Source organism: Homo sapiens, chromosome 11 (assembly GCF_000001405.40).
Source record: "Homo sapiens chromosome 11, GRCh38.p14 Primary Assembly".
Classification (NCBI taxonomy): Eukaryota; Metazoa; Chordata; class Mammalia; order Primates; family Hominidae; genus Homo; species Homo sapiens.
In genome coordinates this window covers 62,324,979-62,352,849 of record NC_000011.10, presented here as the reverse complement: position 1 = coordinate 62,352,849, position 27,871 = coordinate 62,324,979, and the positions used below count along the sequence as shown (strand labels likewise).

Below are 27,871 nucleotides of genomic sequence, written 5' to 3'. Positions count from 1 at the left end.
GAAAGTAGCAAGAGAGAAATGACACCTTACCTATAGGGGAGAAACCAGTTTTAATGACAAAGAATTTGTCACCAGAAACCACGGAGGCCAGAAGGAAGAAGAACAGCATTTTTCAAGTGCTGAAGAAAAGAACTATAAATTCAGAATTCTTTATTCCGCAAATATCCTTCAGGAATGAAGGAGAAACCAAGATACTCTCAGATTGTATTAGGAAGGTGCCAAAAAGGGGTAGGTTTCATTCTGAGGCTGCTGCTTTTTCTTTTTTTTAGACACAGTTTCACTCCGTCGCCCAGGCTGGAGTGCCGTGGTGTGATCTCGGCTCACTGCAACATCTGCCTCCTGGGTTGAAGTGATTCTTGTGCCTCAGCTTCCTGAGTAGCTGGGATTACAGGTGCGCCACCATACCCGGCTAATTTTTATATTTTTAGTAGAGACAGGTTTTCACCATGTTGGTCAGGCTGGTCTCAAACTCCTGACCTCAAGTGATCCACCCACCTCGGCCTCCCAAAGTGTTGGGATTACAGGCGTGAGCCACCGTGCCCAGCCTTGAGGCTTCCTCTCTTGGCTTGTAGGTGGTTACTATCTCCCTGTGTGCTCACTGCTCCATGACCTCTTCTTGTGCCCATGAGAGTGGGCAAGCTCTCTGGTGTCTCCTATAAGGACACTAATCCTATTGGTTCAGGACTCCATCCTTATGACCTCACTTAATTTTAATTACTTCCTTGGAGGCCCCATCTCCAAACACAGCCAGATTAGGGCTTCAACACTTAAATTTTGAGGGGGACATAAACATTCAGTCCATAACACAGATAAGGGCAAATGGAAACAATTTGTTGCCAGCAGGCCTAACCTAAAAGAATGGCTAAAAGAAGTTCTTGGCTGGGTGAGGTGGCTCATGCCTGTAATCTCAGCACTTTGGAGGCCAAGGTAAGAGAAGTGCTTGAGCCCATGAGTTTGAGACGACCATGGGCAACACAGGGAGACCCTGTCTCTACAAAACAATAAAAAATTAGCTGGGTGTGGTGGTGCTCACCTGCAGTTCCAGCTTTACTCGGGAGGCTGAGGTGGGAGGATCACTTGAGCCTAGGAAGTCAAGGCTGCAAAGCTCTGATTGTGCCACTGCACTCCAGTCTGGGTGTCAGAGTAAAATTAATACCTTGTCCCCACCCCCACCAAAAAAAACGATTTTTTTTTTTTTTGGAGATGAGTTTCACCCTTGTCGCCTAGGCTGGAGTGCAGTGACACGATCTCTACTCACTGCAACCTCCGCCTCCCAGGTTCAAGTGATTCTCCTGCCTCAGCTTCCTGAGCAGCTGGGATTACAGGCGCCCGCCACCACGCCCAGCTAATTTTTGTATTTTTAGTAGGGACGGCGTTTCACCATGTTGGCCAGGCTGGTCTCGAACTCCTGACTTCAGGTGATCCACCTGTCTCGGCCTCCCAAAGTGCTGGGATTACATGCTTGAGCCACCAGGCTCAGCCAGAAAGGAATCTTGGAACATTGGGAAGGAAGAAAGAATAAAGAAAGGAGAAAAAATTGGTAAATATAATAGACTTTCCTTCTCCTCTTGAATTTTCCAAATTATGTTTGCCAGTTAAAGCAAAATGGTAACATTGTCTGAAGTGGTTCTCAATGCACATAGTGGAAATATTTAAGACAATTATATGATCAGCAGGGGAGGGTAAAGGGACCGTAAAGAAAGGTAAGGTCTCTAGGGTCTGCTTAAATGGTAAAATGTTAACATTTTTAGACTGTGATAAGTTACATGTGTTTATCCATGTACAGCATAATATCTAGAGCAAATAGCTAAAAAATCTATATAAAGAGATACACTCAAAAATACTACAGCTAAAACAAAATGAAATTCTAAAAAATGCTCAAACAACCCATAGGAAGGCAAGAAAAAGAAAGCAAAAATAACAAACAGAACACTAGACATACAATAGCAGGTTTAAATCTCAACATATCAGTAATTATATAACATGTAAATCTTCTAAATATACTAATTAGAAGACAGATATAGGCAAAGTGGATAATTTTATTTTTCTTTTTTGAGACAGAGTCTTGCTCTGTTGCCCAGGCTGGAGTGCAGTGGTATGATCTTGGCTCACTGCAACCTACGTCTCATGGGTTCAAGCAATTCTCCTGCCTCAGCCTCCTGAGTAGCTGGGACTATAGGTATGTGCCACCACGCCCGGCTAATTTTTGTATTTTTAGTAGAGATGAGGTTTCACCATGTTGGCCAGGCTGGTTTTGAACTCCTGGCCTCAAGTGATCCATCTGCCTTGGCCTCCCAAAGTGCTGGCATTACAGGCGTGAGCCACTGTGCCTGGCCTGGATAAAAAATTTGACCAAACTATATGGGGTCTACCATTTGCCCCAGAAATCACATTCCTGGGCATTTATCCCAGAGGTATGGACATTTATGTTCATATAAAAACGTGTTCATGAATGTTCATAGCAGCTTTATTTGTAATAGTCCCAAACTAGAAACAACCAAAATATCCTTTCCCGGGTGAATGTTTAAATAAACTGTGGTACAACTATACTAGAGAATACTACTCAGCAATAAAGAAATAAATGATATGGGCAACAACTTAGATGGATCTCAGGGGCAAAAATGCTGAATGAGAAAAGCCATTTCCAGAAGGTCACATACTGTATGATTCCGTCAGAGACGTTTGAACCAGAGCAACTGCATCTTGAATAGGAGCTGAGTAAAATAAGGCTGAAACCTGCTGGGCGGCAGGCATTCCCAGATGGTTAAGGCATTCTAAGTCACAGGATGAGACACAAGGTCAGCACAAGATACAGGTCGTAAAGACCTTGCTGATAAAACAGGTTACAGTAAAGAAGCCAGCCAAACCCCACCAAACCCAAGATGGCCACGAGAGTGACCTCTGGTCGTCCTCACTGCTCCACTCCCACCGTGACAGCTTACAAACGCCATGACAACGTCAGGAAGTTCCCCTATGTGGTCTAAAAAGGGGAGGCATGAATAATCCACCCCTTGTTTAGCAGATCATCAAGAAATAACCATAAAAATGGGCAACCAGTAGCCCTCGGGGCTGCTCTATGGAGTAGCCATGCTTTATTCCTTTACTTTCCTAATAAACTTGCTTTCATTTTACTCTACGGACTCGTCCTGAAGTCCTTCTTGCGTGAGATCCAAGAACCTTCTCTTGGGGTCTGGATCGGGACCCGTCTGGTAACAACTCCATTTACAGAACATTCTCAAAATAATAGTAATAAGAAAGAGATAGTGATTGCTAGTTGTTAGGGAGGATGTCATACTGTGATTTACAAGGAGAAACACATAGAGCTGTCCCTCAGTATCCGTGGGGAATTGGATGTGGGACCCCTGGAAACATTGAAACTGCCTTTGCAAAAATTATTTCAGTGAGAAAATTATGGCAGTGAAAGAGATCTGAGCTAACATACCACCCCATCTTGCCTTTCCCTTAATTATTCCTGGGCTATTGGGCAGAGCTAACTTTGAGAGACATTTAGGCTATAGTTAAAAGGATAACAGGCCTTGCCCCAAACGCAACTGCTTTTGTAAAGTGAATGAAAGTTCATCAAGGCTGGGCACGGTGGCTCATGCCGGTAATCCCAGCACTCTGGGAGGCTGAGGTGAGAGGATCACGAGGTCAGGAGTTCGAGACCAGCCTGGCCAACATGGTGAAACCCCGTCTCTACTAAAAATACAAAAATTAGTTGGGTGTGGTGGTGCATGCCTGTAATCCCAGCGACTCAGGAGGCTGAGGCAGGAGAATCACTTGAACCTAGGAGGTGGAGGTTGCAGTGAGCCGAGATCGTGCCACTGCACTCCAGCCTGGGCGACAGAGTGAGACTCCATCTCAAAAAACAAAAAAAAACCACAAAAAACCAAAAAAGTTCATCAAGCTGGGGGAGAAGAGGAACCTGATTCTAATGAGGTGTAGACACAGACTGCCAACCATTCCTTTGGGTACCACCACTACTGCAGATTGGCCTTTTGCGATATCTTTTCAGATTTTTATCCATGTCTGACATGCATGGCTCCACCTGGACCTGCCAACCATCTCCCCTGTGGCCTCGCCCAGAAACAATTCAGTGCACAGGAGGACAGTTTTAACCCTTTTACATTTCTTTTTTTTTTTCTTTGAGGAGGAGTCTCGCTCTGTCACCCAGGCTGGAGTGCAGTGGCGCGATCTTGGCTCACTGCAACCTCCATCTCCCAGGTTCAAGTGATTCTCCTGCCTCAGCCTCCTGAGTAGCTGGGATTACTGGCGTGAGACACCACGCCCAGCTAATTTTTGTATTTTTAGTAGAGACGGGGTTTCGCATGTTGGCCAGGCTGGTCTCGATCTCCTGACCTCAGGTGATCCACCTGCCTCGGCCTCCCAAAGTGCTGGGATTACAGGCGTGAGTCACCACGCCCGGCCATGACCCCCTTTCATTTCATCTCTGCCCCAATCAGCAGCAAGCCTTGCCAGTCGCACCCCTTTCCCTAAACTGCTTTTGAAAAACCCCTAACCCAGGAGCTTTGGAAGAGATGATGAGTACTAACTCCATCTCCCACATGGTGTGGCTGGCCATGTGGTCTATTAAATTTTTTCCTTACTACAATGCCACGATCTTTATTTGTGTAGCAGGCAAGAAAAACCCCTTGGGCAGTTACAATATCAAAATCCATGGATGCTCAAGTCCTCTACGTGAAATGGCATAGTATTTGCATATAATCGATGCACATCCTCCTGTATACTTTAAATCATCTCTAAATCACTTATGATACCTGATACAATGTCTACATCACTTATGATACCTGATACAATGTCTACCATATCAGTTTATTAGTGTGGATTCAATGTAGTACTTCGTGTGAGGCAAGTTTTGCTTTTTGGAACTTAAAATTTTGCAAAGGCAATTTTTTTATTTTTTAGATGGAGCCTCATTCTGTCGCCCAGGCTGGAGTGCAGTGGGGTGATCTTGGCTCACTACAACCTCTGCCTCCTGGGTTCAAGCAATTCTCCTGTCTCAGCCTCCCAAGTAGCTGGGACTACAGGAGCCACCATGCCCGGCTAATTTTTGTATTTTTAGTTTCACCATATTGGTCAGGCTGGTCTTGAACTCCTGACCTCATGTGACCCACCCACCTTAGCCTCCCAAAGTGCTGAGATTACGGGCATGAGCCAACACACCTGGCTTGCAAAGGCAGTCTTACACGGTTTTTTTTTTCCCCAAATATTTTCAACCGAAGATTGGGTAAATTCACAGATGTAGAAGGCCTGGACACAAAGTTTGGTCTTCCTGTTTCCTGACACACAGCTCCTAAAGTACTTGGAAGCGCCAAAGTGGTAAGTTATCTTTTTGTATGCCAATGAGATGACTGATGGTTAGGGGCTAGATAGCCTCAAAATGGGGAGCTGGTTGCCAGGGAACCAATCGTGTAATCAGAGGGCCTGAACTTTCAGTCTCACCCCTCTATCTCCGAGGAAGGGGAGAGAGACTGAAGGGTTAGTTGATAACCAATGGCCAACGATTTAATCAATTGTGCCTATGCCATGAAATGTCAACTAGAGAAAAAAAAATTGAGCTTTTAAATAATTAGTTTTATTTAGAAATCTTACTGAGGACTATAGACTGATGACTATAGTCCAGAGGGGTCCTTCAGAGAGGTGCTGTCAAACTGCTTCAAAACTGTGTCTCCCCTTAGAGCTGATATACAGGTTGTGGAGGGTTAGTACATGCTCAAAGGTTACATGAGACTTCCTCAGAAGTTACATTAAAACAGAATCACATCAAAGTTTGGGTGCAAAAGTGCATCTGGCTATAGATGACAGAGGTATGCATAATCGCTAACCTTGTCAGACGTTATTTTTCTTTTTTTTTTTTTTTGAGACGGAGTCTCACTGTCGCCCCAGGCTGGAGTGCAGTGGTGCCATCTCAGCTCACTGCAACCTCTGTCTCTCAGGTTCAAGTGATTCTCGTGCCTCAGGCTCCCAGGTAGCTGGGATTACAGGCACCCACCACCATGCGAGGCTAATTTTTGTAGTTTTAGTAGAGATGGGGTTTCACCATGTTGCTCAGGCAGGTCTCGAACTCCTGACCTCAGGTGATCTGCCTGCCTCGGCCTCCCAAAGTGCTGGGATTACAGGTGTGAGTCACTGCGCCTGACCCAGATGTTATCTTAAGTGTAGGAAAAGGCAAGACTAGGATCATTTATCGTTTAAGACATACAGTGACTCGGGCAAGAGACATGGGGGCTGTGTGCTCTATCCAATTTTGTCTTCAAATCATTCTTCCAGAAAGCGGCACATCTGCACATCGTCACAGAATCAGGGGCTTCATGAAATGATGTTGGCATGAAGAAATTAGCAAACATGGCTTCTTACGTTTGTTACTCAGTCTCACAGAAGCCTCCATAAAAACCTGTAAGGGCTGATGATGGGAGAGCTTTTGGATTGCTAGGTATGTGAAGGTGCCAGGAGGGTGGTGTGCTGAAGAGGGCAGGGAAGGTCCACACCCCTTCCCCCATACCTTGCCCTATGCATCTCTTCATCTCCCTGTCTGTATCCTCCATTATATCCATTATTCATATAATAAACTGGTAAATATATTTCTCTGAGTTCTGTGAGCTACCCTAGCAAATTAACTGAATTCGAGGAGGGAGTCATGGGAACCCCAATTTATAGCTGGTTGGTCGGAAGTAGAAGTGACAAGCTACTACTCAAGATTGGCATCTGAAGTGGGAAGCAGTCTTACGGGACTGAGCCCTGAACCTGTGGGATTGGACTCTGACCCCAGAGAGGCAGCGTCAGAACTGAACTGACCTCACCCTATGCAACTCTTCATCTGTATCCTTTATCATAGGAGTCCCCAACCCCCAGGTACTGGTACTGGTCTGTGGCCTGTTAGGAACTGGGCCCCACAGCAGGAGGTGAGTGGCAGGCGCATGAGCATTACTACCTGAGCTCCGCCTCCTGTCAGATCAGCAGCAGCATTAGATTCTCATAGGAGTGTGAACCCTGTTGTGAACTGTGCCTGCGAGAGTCTCTGTGGAAACACTGTCTTCCATGAAACTGGTCCCTGGTGCCAAAAAGGTTGGGGACCACGGCTTTATCATATTCTTTATAATAAATTGGTAAACATAAATGTTTTCCAGAGTTCTATGAGCCATCATAGTAAATTATCAAGCCTGAGGAGGGGGTCATGGTAACCCTTGATTTGTAGCCACATTGGACAGAAGTGTGCATAACCAGGGGACTTGCAATATGCCTTTTCAACAATTGGTGCTGGGCCACGGGTGGTGGCTCACGTCTGTTATCCCAGTACTTTGGGAGGCTGAGGCTGGTGGATCACTTGAGGTCAGGAGTTCAAGGCCAGTCTGGCCAACATGGTGAAACCTTGTCTCCCCTAAAAATACAAAAATTAGCCAGGCATGGTGGTGGGCGCCTGTAATCCCAGCTACTCGGGAGGCTGAGGCAGGAGAATTACTTGTACTCGGGAGGTGGAGGTTGCAGTGAGCCAAGATCACGCCACTGCACTCCAGGAAAAAAAGCAAAAAACAAAAAACAACCCTGAGTTCCTCAAAAATCTAAGAATACAGCTACCATGTGATACAGCAATCCCACTGCCGGCTACACACCCAAGAGAAAGGAAATCAGTATATGGAGGAGTTATTTGCACTCCTTGCTTGCTGCAGCATTGTTCACAATAGCCAAGATTCGGAAGCTACCTAGATGTTCATCAACAGATGAATAAAGAAATGATACATATACACAATGGAGTACTACTCAGCCATAAAAAAGAATGAGATTCTGTCATTTGCAACAACATGGATGGAACTGGAGGTCATTATGGTAAGTGAAATAAGTCAGGCACAAAAAGAAAACCTTCACATGTTCTCACTTATTTGTGGGAGCTAGAAGTCAAAGCAATTGAACTCATGAAGATAGAGAGTAAAAAGATGGTTAGCAGAGGCTGGGAGATAGTGGGGGTGGGGCAGAAGTGGGGATAAGTAATGGGTACAAAAAATAGAATGAATATGAGTTAGTATTTGATAGCACAACAGTGACTATAGTCGATAATTTAGCTATACATCTTAAAATAACTAAAAGAATATAATTGTTTATAACACAAAGGATAAATGCTTGAAGGGATGAATATCCCATTTACCCTGATTATTATGCATTGCATGTCTGTATCACAATATCTCACGTACTCCCATAAGTAAATACACCTACTATGTAGCCACAAAAAAAAAAAACCAAAAATGGAATCTTGATATATACCTTGCATCGTATACAAAAATTTATTCAAAGTGAATCACAGACCTAAAACTTCTAGAAGACAACACAAGAAAAATGTTTGCAATGCTGGGTTAGGCAAATATTAAGATACAACACAAAAAGCATGACTGGTTTAAAAAAAAACTGATAAACTGGACTTCTGCAAAGTTGAGAACTTCTGCTTTTTGCAATAAAATATTGAGAAAGAAAAGACAAACCACAGACTGAAAGAAAATATCTGCTGATTTTTCTGCATTGACACATCTGATAAAAGCTATATCTAGAATATATAAACAACTCTTAAAACTCAATAGTAAGAAACAACACCAACAAAAAAATCAGCAAGACTTTGATACTTCACTGAAGAAATATGAACGACAGGCCAAGCGCAGTGGCTCACACCTGTAATCCCAGCCCTTTAGGAGGCTGAGGTGTGTGGATCACGAGGTCAGGAGTTCAAGATCAGCCTGGCCAACATGATGAAACCCCATGTCTACTAAAAATACAAAAATTAGCTGGGTGTGGGGTCACATGCCCTGTAATCCTAGCTACTCAGGAGGTGGAGGTTGCGGTGAGCTGAGATCGCGCCATTTCTCTCCAGCCTGGGCAGCAAGAGTGAGACTCCATCTCAAAAAGAAAAAAAAAAAAAAAAAAAAAGAAATGCATGACAAAAAAGCACATGAAAAGATGTTAAATATCACTTCCCATTTAGGGAAATGCAAATCAACATCGTAAGATTCCATTATATGCCTACTAGAATGGCCAAAATAAAAAATGCTGACACTCACTAGTTAGTGCTGGTGAAGATGTGGATTAAGTGGAACTTTTTTTTTTTTTTTTTTTTTGTGGAGCTGGAGTCTTGCTTTGTTGCCCAGACTGGAGTGCAGTGGCGCCATCTTGGCTCACTACAACCTCTGCCTCCCAGGTTCAAGCGATTCTCCTGCCTCAGCATCCCGAGTGGCTGGGACTACAGGCGTGTGCCACCATGCCTGGCTAATTTTTGTATTTTTGGTAGAGACAGGGTTTCACTATGTTGGCCAGGCTGGTCTCAAACCCCTGACCTTGTGATCCACCCATGTCGGCCTCCCAAAGTGCTGGGATTACAGGCATGAGCTGCGCCCAGCCTGTAAGTGGAACTTTCATACATTGCTAGTGGGAATGTTAAAGTTTGGCAGTTCCTTTTTTTTTTTTTTTTTTTGAGACAGGGTCTCACTCTGTCACCCAGGCTGGAGTGCAGTGGCACGATCTCAGCTCACTGCGACCTCTACCTCCCAGGTTCAAGAGATTCTCCTGCCTCAGCTTCCCGAGCAGCTGGGACCACAGGTGCCCACCACTGCACTTGGCTAATTTTTGTATTTTTAGCAGAGACAGGGTTTCACCATGTTGGCCAGGCTGGTCTTGAACTTCTGACCTCAGGTAATCCGCCTGCCTCGGCCTCCCAAAGTGCTGGGATTATAGGAGTGAGCCACCGCGCCCGGCCAGTAGTTTCTACTGAAGTTAAATTCTTGCCATAAGCCAGCAGTCCCACTCCCAGGTACTCACCTAAGGGAGATAAAAACTTATGTTCACATAAACACCCATATGCAAATGTTTACAGTGATTTTATTTATAATGGCCCCAAATGGAACATGTCCTTTAGCTATTACATGGTTAAACCAACTGTGGTATATTCATACAATGGAATACTACTCAATAAAAAGGGAAAAACTACTGATATCCACGTCTACACGGGTAACACTTTAATGTATTATGTTAACCAAAGAATCCAGACTAAGGCTACACATTGTGTGATTCCATTTATGACTTTTTTTTTTTTTGGAGACAGAGTCTCTCTTTGCTGCTCAGGCAGGAGTGCAGTGGCATAATCTTGAGCCACTGCAACCTCCCCCTTCTGGGTTCAAGTGATTCTCATGCCTCAGCCTCCTGAGTAGCTGGGATTGCCAGGTGTGCCATACCATGCCTGGCTAAGTTTTGTATATTTAGCAGAGACAGCATTTTGCCATATTGGACAGGCTGCTCTTGAACTCCTAGTCTCAAATGATCCACCCGCCTCGGCCTCCAAAAGTGCTGCCATTTATGTGTAAAAAGTGAAGTGGAGGTTCCTCTTCAAAGACTTTGCTCCCTAATTAGGAATAAACAGTAACTTCTCTTAGAAGCAAAATTTATTCAAAGACCTGTGCTAACATTCTTAAATATCTGCTAGCCATAATAAACAAATCACTGTACTTTACGTTCTTAGCTCCCACAATTTAGCCTAAATATTTGCCCTGGAAGGCTTATACTGGTCCAAGCAAGCATTAGGTCACAGCCTGTTCCTCTTCCTTATTTAAAGGTGTTTTTACCTATCTCAGCATCCCACAAGTTACTTCCTCCTTCCTTTGTTCTCCTCTACCTTTGCCTCTTTTAAAAAATTCTAAGTTGCGAGCCAATCGAAACAAATAGAAAATGTAAGGTCCCGTTTCAGCCAATAGAAACCGGACACAGCAGTAGGGTAAATGCGTCAGGTTATAAATAACCCTGTCTCCTTTGTTCAGTATACTCTTGGGACAAAACTGCTGACAAGTGTACCCTTTCAACAAAAAATAAAAACGGCCTTACTAAATAAAATAAATTAATGTTCGAATACTATTTCTTTACAGCACCAAAAAACAAACATTTCAAACATACGACATCCTGGAAATGACAAAACTACAGGAATAGTAAACAGATTAGTTGTTGCCAGGGGCTGGGAGTGAATGGAGGCGTGGACTCAAAGGGATGTGGGAGAGTAATGTAACTGGTTTATATCTTGATTGTGGTGGCAGTTACATGACTATATGTCTCTGTCATGGAACTGTATACTAAAAAGGGGATCTTACTATATGCAAATTATACCAACAAACCAACACCAAACCCATTAAAATTGTATGGTATTAGGCTAGTAGATTCTAAACCTGGTTGTATCTCAGAATCACCTGGGAATCTTCAAAACAAAGAAATGAATACCAATTCCTAGACCCCACTACAGATTTTTACCTTATTGATTCTACATTGTAAGTCCAGAAAGAGACTGGATAAATGAAAAAAATCCTGTTTTCAGCCGGGCGTGGTGGCTCACACCTGTAATCCCAGCACTTTGGGAGGCTGAGGTGGGCGGATCATGAAGTCAGGAGATCCAAGACCATCCTGGCTAACACAGTGAAACCCCGTCTCTACTAAAAATACTAAAAATTAGCTGGTCCTGGTGGTGGGTGCCTATAGTCCCAGCTACTCGAGAGGCTGAGGCAGGAGAATCGCTTGAACCTGAGAGGTGGAGCTTGCAGTGAGCCGAAACTGTGCCACTGCACTCCAGCCTGGGTGACAGAGCGAGACTCAGTCTCAAAAAAAAAAAAAAAAAAAATCCTGTTATCTCAAAGATTCTCTAATAGCTTGTAAATTGAATTGTAGAGAGAATATCTCAAGTGCTGTGTAAATATCGCTGAGCTCCAGTGAAAGCAAATGGTCATTTGGTTGCCAATCTAAGTAAGTTTTTAAAGAATATTCCTAGCATTCAAATTTAAAAGTTCAGTCTTTACAGTGTTGGTATCTAAAAATCAACCACTTTTCAATTTGACATAAAGTCAAATGCACACTGAAACAGGAATAGAATGTAAATAAACATAATGTTTTTACAAATGTTCAGGCAAGTTGTGTCATGAATGCTAATTACTGCCACTGAACTCAATACCTACTGGGAGTCAGCTTTTTGTATGAAGTTCCCAAACAGTTATTTATTCTAGAGGATTATAGCAGAGGATGCTGGGAATATTGCTTGCCGGTAGTGACCTTGGCTGGGAAAAGCCAAGGTCCACAGTACGCTGTTAAAAGTCCCACCTTTCCCCCCATAATCTTTGCTTTCCCTCTTTTCAGCTCTACTCTTTTCTTCCTCAATATGCGGAATAGAGGACATTTGAAAGATGAGAGGGCAGACGTTGAGAAGGAAGGCCTCTGGATACAGAGCAAAAAAATGAGAACTAGCTGCTCCAATTCCCTAATCTGTGCTTCCCAATGCATGCAGATGACAAATTGTTAGAATAAGAGATGGTCGGAAACCAGAATGACCCATTTCAAATGAAGGTCCTGTGTAAATAAGTGAGGGTTTGACAGCCCAGGGGGTGCTGAGTGCTAAGAAGCGTAAGGTTTAACAAGTCACCCACAGAAAGAGCTGGCTGCTCCCTCTGCTGGCAAAGTCAGTGCCTATCTGGTAAATTCTGGCTCTACAAATGGAGCCATGAAAGCACACTATTAGGTCTCATTTTAAATTCAGATGAACTTAATTTTATTTTCAGAGACAGAGTCTCACTCTGTCACCCAGGCTGGAGTGCAGTGGCGCAGTCTTGGCTCATTGCAGCCTTGACCTCCTGGGGCTCAAGGAATCTTCCTACCTCAGCTTCCTGAGTAGCGGCGGCTACAGGCTTGTGCCACCACGCTCAGCTGATTTTTGTATTTTTTTTTTTTTGTAGAGATGGGGTTTTGCCATGTTGCCTAGCCTGGCATTGAACTCCTGAGCTCAAGTGATCCGCCCACCTCAGCTTTCCAAAGTGCTGGGATTACAGGCGTGAGCCACTGCACCGGTCTCAGGAAGAATTACACAATTTTTCACAAGTGTTAAAGAGTGCTGCGTAAAGGGGACAGAACAAGAGTAAATATTTGATGATTAATTAAGATTTCCTGAAATTCTTTTCCCTGACAGATGGGTGGTATAATTCCAGGAAGTATTTCAATCTCTAGCCTAGATCTTAGGTTTGCCATTTTAAAACAAAGAGATGAATGTCTTCCACCAAGTTAATCTGTTTATGCCTTAGTCTGATCTGAGAAATGAGGATAATAATTATGCCTAACTTATACCTAACTCATTTAACTCAACTGAGTTTAAGTGATTAACTCATAAGTGAATCATTTAATGTTCATTATGAGTTAACTTGAGTTAGTTTAACACAAGTTAACCAACTTAAGAGAGTTACATGATCAACTCATTTAATGTTCAGATTCAATAAATCAAGCAAATTTCTTAGACCACTGCCTGATACATGGTAGATACTCATATTAGCTATAATGATTAGTATTCCAAAAAAGGGTGGACTGAGTGAAAGAAGCGAAACACAAAGGAATACACTCTGCACTCCAAAGTTAACCTGAAAACTTTGGAACCTTGTCGGGGGAGGTAGGACATGCCTCATTATTCCCTCCTCCCTTTTGGAATTCAGGCCCAGCTGACCAGCACTAACATTAAAACAGATCTTAAGACTGACAAAGCAGACTTTGTAGCAATAAGATACCAAATTCCAGCGGGACTCTAGTATGACATCACATGACAGATAGCAAGCCCTGAAAGTGAAGTATTTTACCCCAAATTACGTTTCTTCGCCATATCTTGAAATAGTCCTGCAAAGCTAAAGCTATCTCTTGTGGGGAAAATCTACATTCTGAAGAGAATCCCCTTCCTTTTCTAGGCCTTTTTCCTGATTCAGGAGAGAATCAACTCTGATAAGAAACATTTACAATTTATTCTCTCAATAGACTGCTACCTGGAGACTTCCTCTGCCTAAGGGAAATCTTGGTCTCCTCAACCTCTTATCTTAATGCAGACATTCCCTTCTTTTTTCAGTTTTTTTTTTTTTTTTTGAGATAGTCTCGCTCTGTCGCCCAGGCTGGAGTGATCTCGGCTCACTGCAACCTCTGCCTCTCAGGTTCAAGCTATTCTCCTGCCTCGGCCTCCCGAGTAGCTGGGGTTACAGGCTCCTAGCACCACGCCTGGCTTTTTTTTTTTTTCTTTTGTATTTTTAGTAGAGGTGGCTTTTCACCTGTTAGCCAGGCTGGTCTCGAACTCCTGACCTCAGGTGATCCACCCGCCTTGGCCTCCCAAAGTGCTGGGATTACAGGCGTGAGCCACCGTGCTAAACCGCCTTCTATTAATTCTATCTGCAGCCACAAGTCCTTATATAATCCAGACATTCCCTTCTGTGGATTCCAGGTGTTTGGACAAAACTTTAAATCAATTGTTCATCAGAAAATCTTTGAATCTTAACTATGACCTGGAAACCACTCCCCCTCCCCCAGTAGTCTCACCTCTCCAGATGGAACCAATGTATGTCTTGTATGTACTGATTGACATCTTATGTCTCTCCAGAAGCACACATTCTCAGGATTTCCCAAGAGCTGTATCAGAGGCCATTGGTCACTCATATTTGCCTCAGTATAAATCTCTACAAATATTTTAGCGTTTGACTCTTTTCAGCACAGGTAGAAAAATTAAATATTGTTTCTTTTTTACATACTTAGTTTCACCCCAAAGCTCATTAGATTCCCTAACACTATGTAGGTTCTATTTATTCTGAAGAAGGAGCTTGACCTGACTCACATTATTTACTAGCTGAAAGGCACATTTACCTGCGTTGAACTCGGGATCGTCTTCCAGGGCGACGACAGCTCCCTCTACGGCATCCACGGCGCTCCCGCCCTCCCGGAGGATGCCGTAGCCCACGGTGGCGGCTCTGACCATGCCCTGGTGCACTCGCTCCTTCCGATCCTTGGAGATGGGACCGGCTCCGCCGCCGTGGACCACTACGATGGGATTCATGTCGGCGGATCCTAGGCAGCAGGAAGGCGAAAGCGTCGTCCAAAGCCAGCCCAAGGAAGCCGCGCGGGTACAAGGTCCTCGGGAGACCCTGTGGGGACAATGCCCAGTCTCTGTTCTGAACGGCTGGGTTCGCAGCTGGGGGTGGGTAGGGGCGGCTCGGTCGAGCTTGGTACGAAAAGCCCAGGGGCCCGGCGCCCTCCCGCGTTCCTCTCCGCCCCCGGCCCGGACCTGCTGGGGGTCTCAGTTTCCCCGGGGACGTTAACCCGCGCCCACCGCCGCCCGCCTCCAAGCCCCGGCGCCGAAGGAGGATGTCTATTTCGCCTTCGGGAAAATGTCTATTTTCGTTTATTTCATTCGCCCTCCCGCGTCTCGGGCGGCTGCTCCGGGAGGGCCGCCGACTTACCCAGGGCACCGCAGGACGCGGACGCCGAGACCTCAAGCTGGGTCGAGCCAGCCCCGCAGCCGCCCGGTACCGCCGCTCCCCGACGCCGGCTCGAAACCGCTCAGCCCGCAACCGCTCTGGTCACAACGGTTCTGCGCCTGCGCACGAGGGCGGGACCGCCGCACGGCCCAGTTCCCATAAAGCCCCGAAGGCCGGCTGGCGCGCACCTGTCTCACTCCTCTCAAGAGTCTACGCTCTTGGCCGGCCCGAGCTTCCTGGTGGCACGCGGGGAACCTCCTGCTCCTGACCAGGCTAGGGGCTGGGTGGTTGGGTTGGTGGCGAGAAGCGTGAAGTGGCATGCCACGATTTTGTAATTGCAGATTGAAAAGCAACGCTAGGCTGTGCGCAGTGGCTCATGCCTTGTAATCCCAGCACTTTGAGAGGCCGAGGCGGACGGATCACCTGAGGTCGGGAGTTCGAGACCAGCCTGACCAACACGGAGAAACCCTGTCCCTACTAAAAACACAAAATTAGCTGGGCGTGGTGGCGCATGCCTGTAATCCCAGCTACTCTGGAGGCTAAGGCACGAGAATCGTTTGAACCTGGGAGGCGGAGGTTGCGGTGAGTGGAAATCGCGCCATTGCACTCCAGCCTGGGCAACAAGAGTGAAACTCCGAATCAAAAGAAAAAAAAATTATACTGGGACAATGGGCATAAACAGGGACAGATCCAGGCAAACTGTGATTGATCTCCTGTGGATAGGAGAGTCCTTTCCCTTCTTGTTTACCCACAACTGATAACATATTTTACCACTCTTGGGAATTCCCTTTACTCCTGTTTTACCTTCGTTTCCTGCCTTAAGGCCCAGTTTAAATGAACCCCTCCTGCAAAGCCTTCTCCCTGGCACCCCACTAAGGATCAGTCATTCCCTTTCTAGTGACCTATTGTTAGAGATTACCACAAATTTATTGGCTTCAAACAACACACATTATCTTACAGTTCTGGTGGTCAGAAATTCAAACTGGGTCTGCAGGGTTGAGTTCCTTCGGGAAGCTCCAGAAGAGAATCTGTCTTTTCTTGCTTCTACAAGCTGCCTGTATCCTTGGCTCATGGCCTCATCCTCCATTGCCAAAGCCAACAGCCTAGCATCTTTAACTCTCTCTCCCTCTGGCCTGTTTCTGCTGCTACGTCACTTCTCTCTCTGTCACCATCATCACGATTTTCTTTTCTGACTCTGACTCTCCTGCCTCCTTCTTAAAGGAAGTCCCTTGGGATGACATTGGGCCCACCCAGATAACCCAGGATAATCTCCCTTTCTTACAATTTCTATTCTCATCTGCAAAGTCCCTTTTGCCATGTGAGGAGTGTTCACAGGTGGAGATTCGGATGTGACACCTTTGAGGGCCGTTATTCTGTCTCCCACACTCACCTCTTGGAAGAGGGTTATTTTAGCACGTCTCAACTGGTCGTGAGCCTAGTTGTGTCATCATAATACAGCTCACCATCATTTGGTTTCAGCTATTTATAGGAACCTGAACCCTACCCTATGCCTAGCCCTAACTCAAACCCCATCTCTACTGTTTTTCCTGATTGATCTGGAATTCAGTGATCTGGCTGAGGCTGGGGAAGGTGGCTGGTGGCCCAAGCAGGTAGAATGTTGGTTTCCATTTGATCCTCCCATCTCAGCCTCATGCGTTTATCTACTTCTCTGATGGGCTTCGTATTCCCCATCCCAATCCAAAGTCTCTTAGATAAATTCTCTAGAAAATAAACTTCTGGTCTTTGAGGAGGAAAGAGGAAGCATCTTTTTGTCCGGCTCTGTGGGATAGGAGAAGGAATCTGGCTAACTCCTCTGTAGACGATGTTCCATCAACAATCATTTTATGGATTAAGGATTGTATTCAACTGTCCCTGACGAAACGTGACCACAGTGGTTTAACCAGATAACTGTTGATTTGAAAACAACAATAACAACAACAACAACAACAACAACAACAAGACATCTAGTGGTTGCTGCCCAGGCTGGTGCAGCAGCTCCAAGGTGACACAGATGTCCCATCTCCTTCTCTTCCCTTCAGCATGTGGCTTTCACATTTATGGTGCTCCTAGGCACCTTGATCACTATTGGGGCAGAAGGAATGGGGAAGGGCAAAGGGAAGAAGGCTTTTGCCAGCTCCCCTTTGTTCCTTTAATTCAGGAAAGCTCTCTAGCTTTCCTAGAAGTCCTCCAAGTGGACTTTTATTGGCCAGAACTGGATTGGGGGGCTGCCCCTAGTGGCAAGAGAGTCTGAGTTTTTATTTTAGCAGGGTACATCATGGCCCTGGATAAAATCAAGGTCTCTTGGCAAGAAGGAAGGGTGACAGGCTATTGGAGAGACAACTGGGAACACCTGCCACTCCTGCCTCCCCATCTTTGAGATTCCTGTGTGTCTAAGCCCTGAGTCTCTCAAGCGTTCTCCAGAACAAATGGATTCACCTCTCAAGTAGATTACAACTTCCTTTAATCTGCCATTTGTTATTCATCTTCCAAAGTGACCTTTTTTACCTGCCATTGTCATCTCTCCCATTCTTCCTGTCTTTGTGGGTAGTATTCTTTTTAAGATTGTTTACTATCATTTTAGAGGGATTTTTGAAGGGAGGAGTAACCCATTTGTGTGACTGGGGAGGTTGACTAGAGCCCCAAGGAAGTGATTCTAACTACAGTGGCTCTGGATGTTCTAGGAGGAGGAGGGTTGGGTTAGGGAATGCCAGAGTTGGGGAGAGGAGGTGGGACCAGAAAAGGAGGGACTGGGCAGGGACTGGGCATTTCTGGGTCAGAAATGAAGGAGGCATATTAGAGAGATTGACGAAGAAGAAATGGGGGTGGGAGGGAGGAAGAGAAGAAAAAAAGAAAGAAGCAACTAACATTTCCTTCCTTTCCTTCCCTTCCTTCCCTTTCTTTCCTTTCTTTCTTTCTTCTTTGAGACGGAGTCTCGCTCTGTTGCCCAGGCTGGAGTATAGTGGTGCGATCTTGGCTGACTATAATCTCCATCTCCCGAGGCTCAGACATGATTCTCCTGCTTCAGCCACCCAAGTATCTGGGATTACAGGCATGCACCACCACGCCCAGCTAATTTTTGTATTTTTAGTAGGGATGGGATTTCAACATCTTGGCTACGCTGGTCTCGAACTCCTGACCTCAAGCGATTTGCCCACCTTGGCCTCCCAAAGTGCTGGGATTACAGGTGTGAGCCACTACACCTGGCCGCAACTAACATTTTCTGAAGGTCCACTGGGGAACTGGCAGGCTGCCTTTACTACGTTCTTACTGCCTAGCAACTTCCCATCCCCACCAGTCTCAGCTACATGAGGAAAAGGCTTTTGGCTGACCCCACTGGGGGCAGGATGGGAATCTGTGAGACTCCCTCCAAATTCTAGAATGTGTAACAGTATCTTGAGCCTGCCACCTTCCTATCTTGAGCTTCGCTTTCAAACAAGAAGCGGGACACATACGTTTCAACTCTGAGATCCCTGAGCTTATTTAGGAGATTTAGTACCCATGAATTTGTTCAGGAACGGGGCCTGAGGCTGTTTTTAGGAAGCCCACATCAGCATTTTGTGCAATAGCACTTCTTTCTAACTTTCTTCTCCTCTCTGACCACAGAATTGTAATTCAGTTAGTGATATGGGATGGGGGCAGGGAAGTGCTGGGTAGAGAAGGGCATGGTCCCTGGCTAGGGCTCCACCCCTGGGCCTGTGCCCATGGACCTAGGTGAGGACAGGCACTCCTGCCTTCAGGCCTAAATGTTGCATTTTCCAAGACCACTCTGGCCCACCACGCCCCCATCCTGTGCCCATAAAAACCTCGAGACCCAGCCGCGCGCGGTGGCTCAAGTCTGAAATCCCAGCACTTTGGGAGGCCGAGGCGGGTGGATCATGAGGTCAGGAGATCGAGACCATCCTGGCTACCACGGTGAAACTCTGTCTCTACTAAAAAGACAAAAAATTAGCCGGGGGTGGTGGCACGTGCCTGTAATCCCAGCTATTCAAGAGGCTGAGGCAGGAGGATGCTTGAACCCGGGAGGTGGAGGTTGCAGTGAGCTGAGATCATGCCAATGCACTCCAGCCTGAATGACAGAGCGAGACTCCATCTCAAAAACAAAACAAAACAAAACAAAACAAAACAAAACAAAAAAACACCTCAAGATCTTAGGGGGCAGGCACACAAGCGGCTGGACGCCGAGAGGAGCACGTTGGTGGAAGAGCACACTGACAGGTGCCAACAGATGCCGGCAGGCCATCGAGCAGTGGAGCCATGGTGGAGTTTGGCCGGGGCAGTCGGAGGAGAGCCTGGCCACTGGGCAGCCCGGCTCGGCAGGGAAAACCACCTTTCCACTCCATCCCCCTTCTGGCCTCGCTGAGAGCTACTCCTCAGTAAAAAACCTTGCACTCATTCTCTAAGCCCATGTGTGATCCGATACTTCTGGTACACCAAGGCAGGAACCCAGGGATACAGAAAGCCCTCTGTCCTTGTGATAAGGCAGAAGGTCTAATAGAGGTGATTAACACAAGCTGCCTGTGGATGGCAAAACTAAAAGAGCACCCTGTAACACACGCCCACTGGGGCTTCGGGAGCTGTAAGCATTCACCCCAGGTGCTGCCGAGGGGTCAGAGCCCCACAATCTGCCCATCTGTATGCTTCCCCTGGAGGTTTGAGCAGTGGGGCACTGATGAAGCGAGCCACTCCCCCTGTTGCATGCCCTGCAAGGGGGATAAGGAACTTTTCCCGTTTCATTAGGGTGGAACATGTATGGGTGCTTGAATTTGGATTCCTATAAATATTTTGATTTATATCTGGGCTGTCTCTTTTAAACTCAAAATCAATGGCTGGACATAGTGGTTCATGCCTGTAATCCCAGCACTTTGGGAAACAGAGGCAGGTGGATTTCCTGACCTCAGGAGTTCAAGACCAGCCTGGGCAACCTGGCAAAACCCCATCTCTACCAAAAACACAAAAAAATTAGCCGGACGTGGTGGCATACACCTGTAATTCCAGCTATTCAGGAGGCTGAGGTGGGAGGATTGCTTGAGTCTGGGAGGTAGAGGTTGCATGAGCTGAGATCACACCACTGGGCTCCAACCTGGGTGACAGAGTTGGACCCTGTCTCAAAAACAAAACAAAACAAAAAAACCACACACACAAAACTGAAGTCTGGAAGTCTCATTGGGAGGAGAGTCATGATATGAAGAGAAATACAGGAGAGAGGAAAAGCACATAATTTTATTCCATTGCATATAGTTAAAAAATGAAATGGCACAAAATAATTTAAAATGAAAGGTATAGTCTTCTCTCCCCCATCACCACTCCCTACTCCCCCCACCTCCCAGTGCTGGCATTTCTACCTAGGGGCAGCCACTTTACAACTTTTGGTTATATCTTCTGGGAGATTGCACCACATCTCTCTCTCTCTCTCTTTTTTTACTTTATTAAAATACTGAATTTTATTTCACATGTATGTTTTTGTCTCCCCACCATTTCCATGTCTGACCACCGCTACTACTTAGTCCTATCATAACATTCCATACCTACTTAAAACCAAGCAAAGGGTGGAGTTCCATCTTTAAAAACTAAACAGACATTTTCAACAACACATTCTTGGCAATGGAACCTGGACAACATTTATCAAACACGGTAGGGAAAGTTCTCACTCTGCATTACAAAAAGGACAGCCAGATATCAACTGTTACCAAAATGAAATAAGATGGAAAATTTTTAACAAACTGTTTAGACTATTTTCTTAAAGAGACTTCCTCCACTGTCAGAGATCTTGAATAGCAGTCATCCGGAAGCAGTTCTTCACATAATTGATGAACTTGGCTTCCACTTTGGGAAGAGAACCACCTTTTTCTATCCTTGCTTGCATGTTTGCTTTAACGTCTTCTACAGAACTAGGTCCTTTTGGTATTTTAGGAGTTTTTTCCTGTTTTTTGAAGGATTCTTGTCTTTTTGATCTTGGTGTTGACGATGGCTTTGAGTCTTTTCCATTCTGATTTGACTTTTGTGCATTTTTGGCTGGAGTATCTCATATAGATTGCTTCACTGGTGCTTTTTCTTTGGTTTCCTTATCATCAAAATCATCATCATCATCATCATCTTCATCATCATCATCATCTTCATAATCATCATCTTCATCGGCAGCAAGTTTTACTTTTTTCTGTGGAACCTTGCTACCACCTCCAGGGGCTGATCGCTTTCCAGATACACTTAAGAGTTTCACATCCTCCTCCTCTTCATCTTTTCTTGCATCTTCCTCCACAGCTACTAAGTGCTGTCCACTAATATGCCCTAGCCCTAAGCCACACGTCAACCGTAAGACACTGGTGGTGTTATTTCAAAGCCCCCAAGGGAAACCATTGGCTGTACAGACATTTTCAAAGTTGCCAGTGTTACTTTAATTGGACTGCCTTCGTAATTCATTGCCTCTGCTTCAACAGTGTGCCATTCATCCTTTGCACCAGCCCTAAACTGACCATTCTTAAAGATAGCTGGTGCTCATCTTCATCATTATCCACCTTAAAGTGATCATCTTTGTTGGCCTTTAAGTTCACAACTGAAAAGATAGTTCTGGGGTCTCAGGGGGCTCATGTCCATGTCCATCGAATCTTCCATCGGGTGGTGGCACGCACTTAGGTGGGAGAGAATGTGGATGGAGATAAACGACCACTGCTCAAGAGAACAGCCACACAGGTTGGAATGACACCAGGGAAAAGCTGCACCACATCTTTTACAGATAAATGTATACACCCACAATTCCCTGATTTAACATTACTTACTGACTTCTTGGTTGGCTAGATGCAGATTGGCTCATTTACTGCTTCTCCTTTTCTGCTTTATTCTTTTTTTTTTTTTTTTTTTTGAGACGGAATCTTGCTGTGTCACCAAGGCTGGAGTGCAGTGGCACGATCTTGGCTCACTGCAACCTCCTCCTCCTGGGTTCAAGCGATTCTTCTGCCTCAGCCTCCCTGTAGCTGCTTTGGGAGGCCTCAGCACCTCAGTGCCTGTAGCTAATTTTTGTATTTTTAGTAGAGACGGGGTTTCACCGTGTTAGCCAGGATTGTCTCAATCTCCTGACCACATGATCCACCCGCCTTGGCCTCCCACAGTGCTGGGATTACAGGCATGAGCCACTGTGCCCGGCCTATCATTGGAAATTTAAGTAATAAACTTACTCTTAATTTCTAGTTCTATCAACTAGAAACAATATCTCTTGCCTTTCCACATTGTAAGAGCAGGATATTGGTGTTGTTTCCTTCCCTTCATTTCTTTCCCCTTTATATGGAACTCTTTCCTCCTTGGATATGGAACTACTGTACAGTTAAGTCTTATGTGATTGGGCCATAGGTGGACTCTAGAAGTCAGAGATAAATAACTTGTGTTTGCACTATTGAGACTGTGTAAAATGCATGCACTGCAGATTCAGATCATCCATGATGATGATAGTTTTTGTTGGGCGTAGTGTTTCCCCATCCCTGGGTTCTGTTCATTTTTTTTCTTTTTTAAAAAATTTCTTTCTTTTCACCTGATTCTTTGTAAGTGTGCAATGTTTCTTTTCTTCTTTCATTATCTGCCTTATCAGATCTTTAATTTTTTTTTTTTTTTTTTGAGACAAGGTTTGGCTCTATCACCCAGACTGGAGCACAGTGGCGTGATCACGGCTCAATGCAACCTCCGCCTCCTGGGTTCAAGCCATCCTCCCACCCCAGCCTCCTGAGTACCTGGGACTACAGGTGCACACCATCACACCCGGCTAATTTTTGTGTTTTTTGTAGGGATAGAGTTTTGCCATGCTGCCCAGGCTGGTCTTGAACTCGTGAGCTCAAAGCAATCTGCCCGCCTTGGCCTCCCAAAGCAGGTCTTTAATTTGTTGCCATTCCCGAGTGTAGTAGAAAATGGCCAGGGTCCTCTCCTTTCCTTGGATTCCTTCTCTTTTCTTTCCATGTTCATATTATTGATTGTTCCCCAGGTCTGTTGACTACTCTCTCCTGAAGACCTCTCCTCATTTTTCTTAACAGTTGGATCCAGCACCTTCTGGATTGGTTCTCCAGCTTGAAGAGGGCATATGGAGGGATTTCTCAGCTTCCACAATCACGTGAGCCCATTCCCATAATAAATCTCTTATGTATCTATGTATATATCCTATTGGTTCTGTTTCTCTGGGAACCCTGACTAACACACGAATTTTTTTGTTGTTTTTGTTTTTTTTGAGATGGAGTCCCACTCTGTGGCCCAGGCCAGAGTGCAGTGGTGTGATCTTGGCTCACTGCAACCTCTGCCTCCTGGGCTCAAGCCATTCTCCTGCCTCAGCCTCCTGAGTAGCTGGGGTTACAGGTACATGCCACCATTCCCGGCTAATTTTTGTATTTTTAGTAGAGATGGGGGTTTCACCTTGTTGGTCAGGCTGATCTTGAACTCCTGACTTTGTGATCTATCCGCTTTGGTCTCCCAAAGTGCTGGGATTACAGGTGTGAGCCACCATGCCCAGCCAACACATGAATCTTACATTTTTGATTTACTTCATCATTTTGCTGGAGAATGTCCTCAAGTGACTCCCTAACAGAATAATTGTTCTATGCTTTAGCACATGCCTGAGCGTGTGCTAATTTTGTTCGAAAGCCTTCTATAATTTCTGACTATCTCTAGAATAAAACTCATATAAAAAAGGAGCGCTCAGAGCCCTCCTAGGTTTAGCCTTAAGTACCTTTCCATACTTTTCTTCCATTGCCTCCCTCTCCCCTCTGTGTACTTTATGTTCTTGCCACACTGATTTGACATCCATTCTTCTGAGGGACCATGTGTGGCTTCTCCTCTAGGCCTTTACTTTGCTGGGAACCGCTTTCTCCCAAGATCATAGTTCATCTGTTCCAAGAGGCCTAACTCAGTTCCTACTGAGTCAAAATCATAGCTCCTTTAGCGCTTTTTTCAGTACTTCCTTCCTTTCTTTTTTTTTTTTTTTTTTGAGATGGAGTTTCGCTTTTGTTGCCCAGGCTGGAGTGCAGTGGCACAATCTTGGATCGCTGCAACCTCCCCCTCCCAGGTTCAAGCCATTCTCCTGCCTCACCCTCTTGAGTAGCTGGGACTACAGGCGCCCGCCACCACGCCTGGCTAATTTTTATAGTTTTAATAGAGATGGGGTTTCACTATGTTGGGCAGGCTGGTCTGGAACTCCTGACCTCAGGTGATCCATGCGTCTCAGCCTCCCAAGTGCTGGAATTACAGGCATGAGCCACCGTGCCTGGCCCAGCACTTTCCACATAACTGTTGTTATAGACTTCACTAGTCATTCTTTTGTTGTTGTTATTGTGAAGCATTATTTATTAATAATGACATTTCTATATAGCTTGGACTATAAATCCTCACACTTTGTGCCTGGCAATAATTAGTATGAAACAAATGACAACATGTGCAAAAGGAGACTTTCTATCATTCTGTCTACACTGATTATATAGGATTCTCTAAAGAATTATTTTAAAAAAGCTTCTTTAATCATATAAAACATTAAGTGTAATAAAGTAATTCATATGAATTCAAATTTTCTTTTTTTTTCTCTCTCTCTGTCTTTTTTTTTTTTTTGAGTTGGAGTCTTACTCTGTTGCCCAGGCTGGAGTGCAGTGGCGCCATCTCAGCTCACTGCAACCTCCGCGTCCCGGGTTCAAGTGATTCTCCTGCCTCAGCCTCCTGAGTAGCTGAGATTACAGGCCCCTGCCACCACACCCAACTAATTTTTGTATTTTTTAGCGGAGACAGAGTTTCGCCATGTTGGCCAGGCTGGTCTTGAACTCCTTATCTCAGGTGACCCGCCCGCCTTGGCCTCCGCCCGCCGTGGCCTCCCAAAGTGTTGGGATTACAGGCGTGAGCTGCTGTGCCCGGCCCAAATTTTCTTGATAATGATGGTTCTCTTCCAGAGAACTGTCACTTTTCATTCGCCTATTTTGCTATGATGTTGCCTGTGCTGTTTTCTTCAGAAAAACGTGCTTGGATTAAGTGAAGAACTGAAAGGGTGGCCTGCCCCTCCACACCTGTTGGTGTTTCTCATCGGGTGGAATGAAAGACTTGAGAAAAGAAAGAGACACAGAGACAAAGTATAGAGAAAGAAAAGTGGGCCCAGGGAACTGGCACTCAGCATACGGAGGACCCGCGCTGGCACCAGTCTCTGAGTTCCCTTAGTATTTATTGATCATTATTGGGCATTTCTTGGAGAGGGGAATGTGGCAGGACAATAGGGTAATAGTGGAGAGAAGGTCAGCAGGAAAACCTGTGAACAGATGTCTCTGCATCATAAACAAGGTAAAGAAAAAAGTGCTGTGCTTTTGATGTGCGTATACATAAACATCTCAATGCCTTAAAGAGCAGTATTGCTGCCAGCATGTGCCAACTCCAGCCCTAAGGCAGTTTTCTCCTATCTCAGTAGATGGAATATACAATTGGGTTTTACACCGAGACATTCCATTGCCCAGGGACGAGCTGGAGACAGATGCCTTCCTCTTATCTCAACTGCAAAGAGGCCTTCCTCTTTTACTAATCCTCCTCAGCACAGACGCTTTACAGGTGTCAGGCTGGGGTACGGTCAGGTCTTTCCCTTCCCATGAGGCCATATTTCAGACTATCACGTGGAAAGAAACCTTGGACAATACCTGGCCTTCCTAGGCAGAGGTCCCTGTGGCCTTCCGCAGTGTATTGTGTCCCTGGGTACTTGAGATTAGGGAGTGGTGATGACTCTTAACAAGCGTGCTGCCTTCAAGCATTTGTTTAACAAAGCACACCCTGCACAGCCCTTAATCCATTTAACCTTGAGTTGACACAGCACATGTTTCAGGGAGCACAGGGTTGGGGGTAGGGTTACAGATTAACAGCATCTCAAGGCAGAAGAATTTTTCTTAGTACAGAACAAAATGGAGTCTCTTATGTCTACTTCTTTCTCCATAGACACAGTAACAGTCTCATCTCTCTTTTCCCCACAAAGAACCTTCTAAGTAAAATTCTCAAAGTACTTAATATATTTAAAAAATCATGTTCAGATTTTAAAGGGCTAGTTCTAATGTACCTTTTTTGTTTTTAACTTTTATTTTAAGTTCAGGGGTACAACTGCAGGTTTGTCACACAAGTAAACTTGTGTCATAGGGGTTTGTTGTACAGATTATCTCATCACCTAGTTCTCAAACCTTTTACTAGTCATTTTTGTTTTAGAGATAATTTCATAAACATCTGACTTCCTGACTTACCCCACTTAGTTCCTGGAGGATGATTAATATCAGTTTTAATATTAGTCTTGAGTATCATACCAAGAGGTTTTGTAGCAGGACGAGCCGCAGACAAAACCTCTTAGATACCGAGTAGTAGAAGGAAGGGCTTTATTCAGCTGGGAGCATCGGCAAGCTACTGCCTTAAAATCTGAGCTCCCCGATGCACAATTTCTGTCCCTTTTAAGGGCTCACAACACTAAAGATTTCACATGAAAGGGTCGTGATTGATTTGAGCAAGCAGGTGGTACATGACAGGGGCTGCATGCACCGGTGGTCAGAGAGAAAGAGAACAGGGCAGGGAGTGTCACAGTGTTCTTCTATACAATGTCTGGAATCTATGAATAACATCAGTTTCTAAGTTGTGAGTTGATTTTTAACTACTGGGTTTAGGCCAGGCAGGCCCAGGACTGGTTTTGGGCCTGGCGCCGGGCTGCCTGTCTTTGGTTTTACTTCCTTGTCATTTTTTCTTAAAACAGGTACTGAGTATAAAACAGTATAAAACAATATGAGAGGGTCTCTCTCTTCCCTCAGTTTGAGTTGATTGTATAGAGAGGTTTTCACCTAGAGTTTGGTGCCCCCAAAACTCCAGGTCAAAGGGCAGTGAAGAGTCATACCAAGTGTGAAGTGAGAGGGCCAGGGATGGAATTCTGTCCTTCCTTCTCCAAGCCTCGTGCTCTCCCTGTCCCTAAATGATTTGACATCCTCTGCAGTTTCATATTGTAACTCACAATTTTTTTTGGAAAGAACTAAGATGTAAGTAATAAATCAGTTCCTGTTTGTTCTAGTAATTTATTACCAACCCTATACTATGGATTTGTAAATACTTATATCTTTTTATCTATCTACTCTCTATAACTGTTTCCTCATCCTAGACTGCAGGTTCTCCTTGGCAGAGATTGTGTCTGAAGCCCATAAGACACAATCCTCTTGGGCACAGGAGTTTTGCCAAGCAGCTTCTCAATAGCTTGTGCTGTGGCTAACCCTGATGATGAAAAGGCAATATGGTGATAGCAAGATTTGAATCTCTGTTCTTTTCTGATGGGATAAACGAAACAGCCAAAGAGACTTCTTTTAGAGCACCATCATTTCTTAGCGTCTTCACCAGGGGTCGGTGAGATGAAGCAGCCACCCTCCAAGGCGGCCTCAGCCATCCTGACACCTCCAATGCGGAGGTGTGGGGTGCAGATACAGCGCTCTGGCCCCAAGGAGGCGCTGTTTCCCCAGGGATCGGCTGGCGGAGGCTTTGCAATGATGAAGTTGGCCTGTGGTGGGAGCCTCCTCCGTCTGTGGCCACCCTTCTTTGATACAAATAGTGTGCGCCTTGCGTAATGTCCTGGG

General features: G+C 45.3%; 1 protein-coding gene and 1 pseudogene across 6 annotated transcripts in view, besides 3 other annotated features; both read right to left on the bottom strand.

Annotated features, from left to right (window-relative positions):
- ASRGL1 (asparaginase and isoaspartyl peptidase 1) overlaps positions 1–15,402 on the bottom strand; it is a 63,984-nt gene extending 48,582 nt beyond the window's left edge. For 4 of the 6 annotated variants that reach the window (XM_011545265.4, NM_025080.4, XM_047427631.1 and 1 more), the window contains exons 1-2: positions 15,276–15,402; positions 14,683–14,883 (exon numbers count right to left, since the gene is read on the bottom strand). In XM_011545265.4, the coding sequence (XP_011543567.1) occupies positions 14,683–14,872 (190 nt within the window). In that variant the 5' untranslated portion in view covers positions 14,873–14,883; positions 15,276–15,402. Of the gene's footprint in view, positions 1–14,682; positions 14,961–15,275 lie in introns of all 6 variants that reach the window. The other 2 variants (NM_001083926.2, NM_001441217.1) reach the window with 1 other exon arrangement.
- Positions 14,822–15,491: an enhancer, noted in NCBI's record as "H3K27ac-H3K4me1 hESC enhancer chr11:62104831-62105500 (GRCh37/hg19 assembly coordinates)". NCBI's record gives its function as "activates a minimal SCP1, AML or CMV promoter by ChIP-STARR-seq in primed H9 embryonic stem cells {active_cell/tissue: H9 hESC(primed)}" and the evidence as "EXISTENCE:reporter gene assay evidence [ECO:0000049][PMID:30033119]".
- NPM1P35 (nucleophosmin 1 pseudogene 35) lies at positions 20,834–22,008 on the bottom strand (annotated as a pseudogene).
- Positions 25,686–26,345: an enhancer, noted in NCBI's record as "OCT4-NANOG-H3K27ac hESC enhancer chr11:62093977-62094636 (GRCh37/hg19 assembly coordinates)". NCBI's record gives its function as "activates a minimal SCP1, AML or CMV promoter by ChIP-STARR-seq in naive and primed H9 embryonic stem cells {active_cell/tissue: H9 hESC(naive and primed)}" and the evidence as "EXISTENCE:reporter gene assay evidence [ECO:0000049][PMID:30033119]".
- Positions 27,166–27,667: an enhancer, noted in NCBI's record as "H3K27ac hESC enhancer chr11:62092655-62093156 (GRCh37/hg19 assembly coordinates)". NCBI's record gives its function as "activates a minimal SCP1, AML or CMV promoter by ChIP-STARR-seq in primed H9 embryonic stem cells {active_cell/tissue: H9 hESC(primed)}" and the evidence as "EXISTENCE:reporter gene assay evidence [ECO:0000049][PMID:30033119]".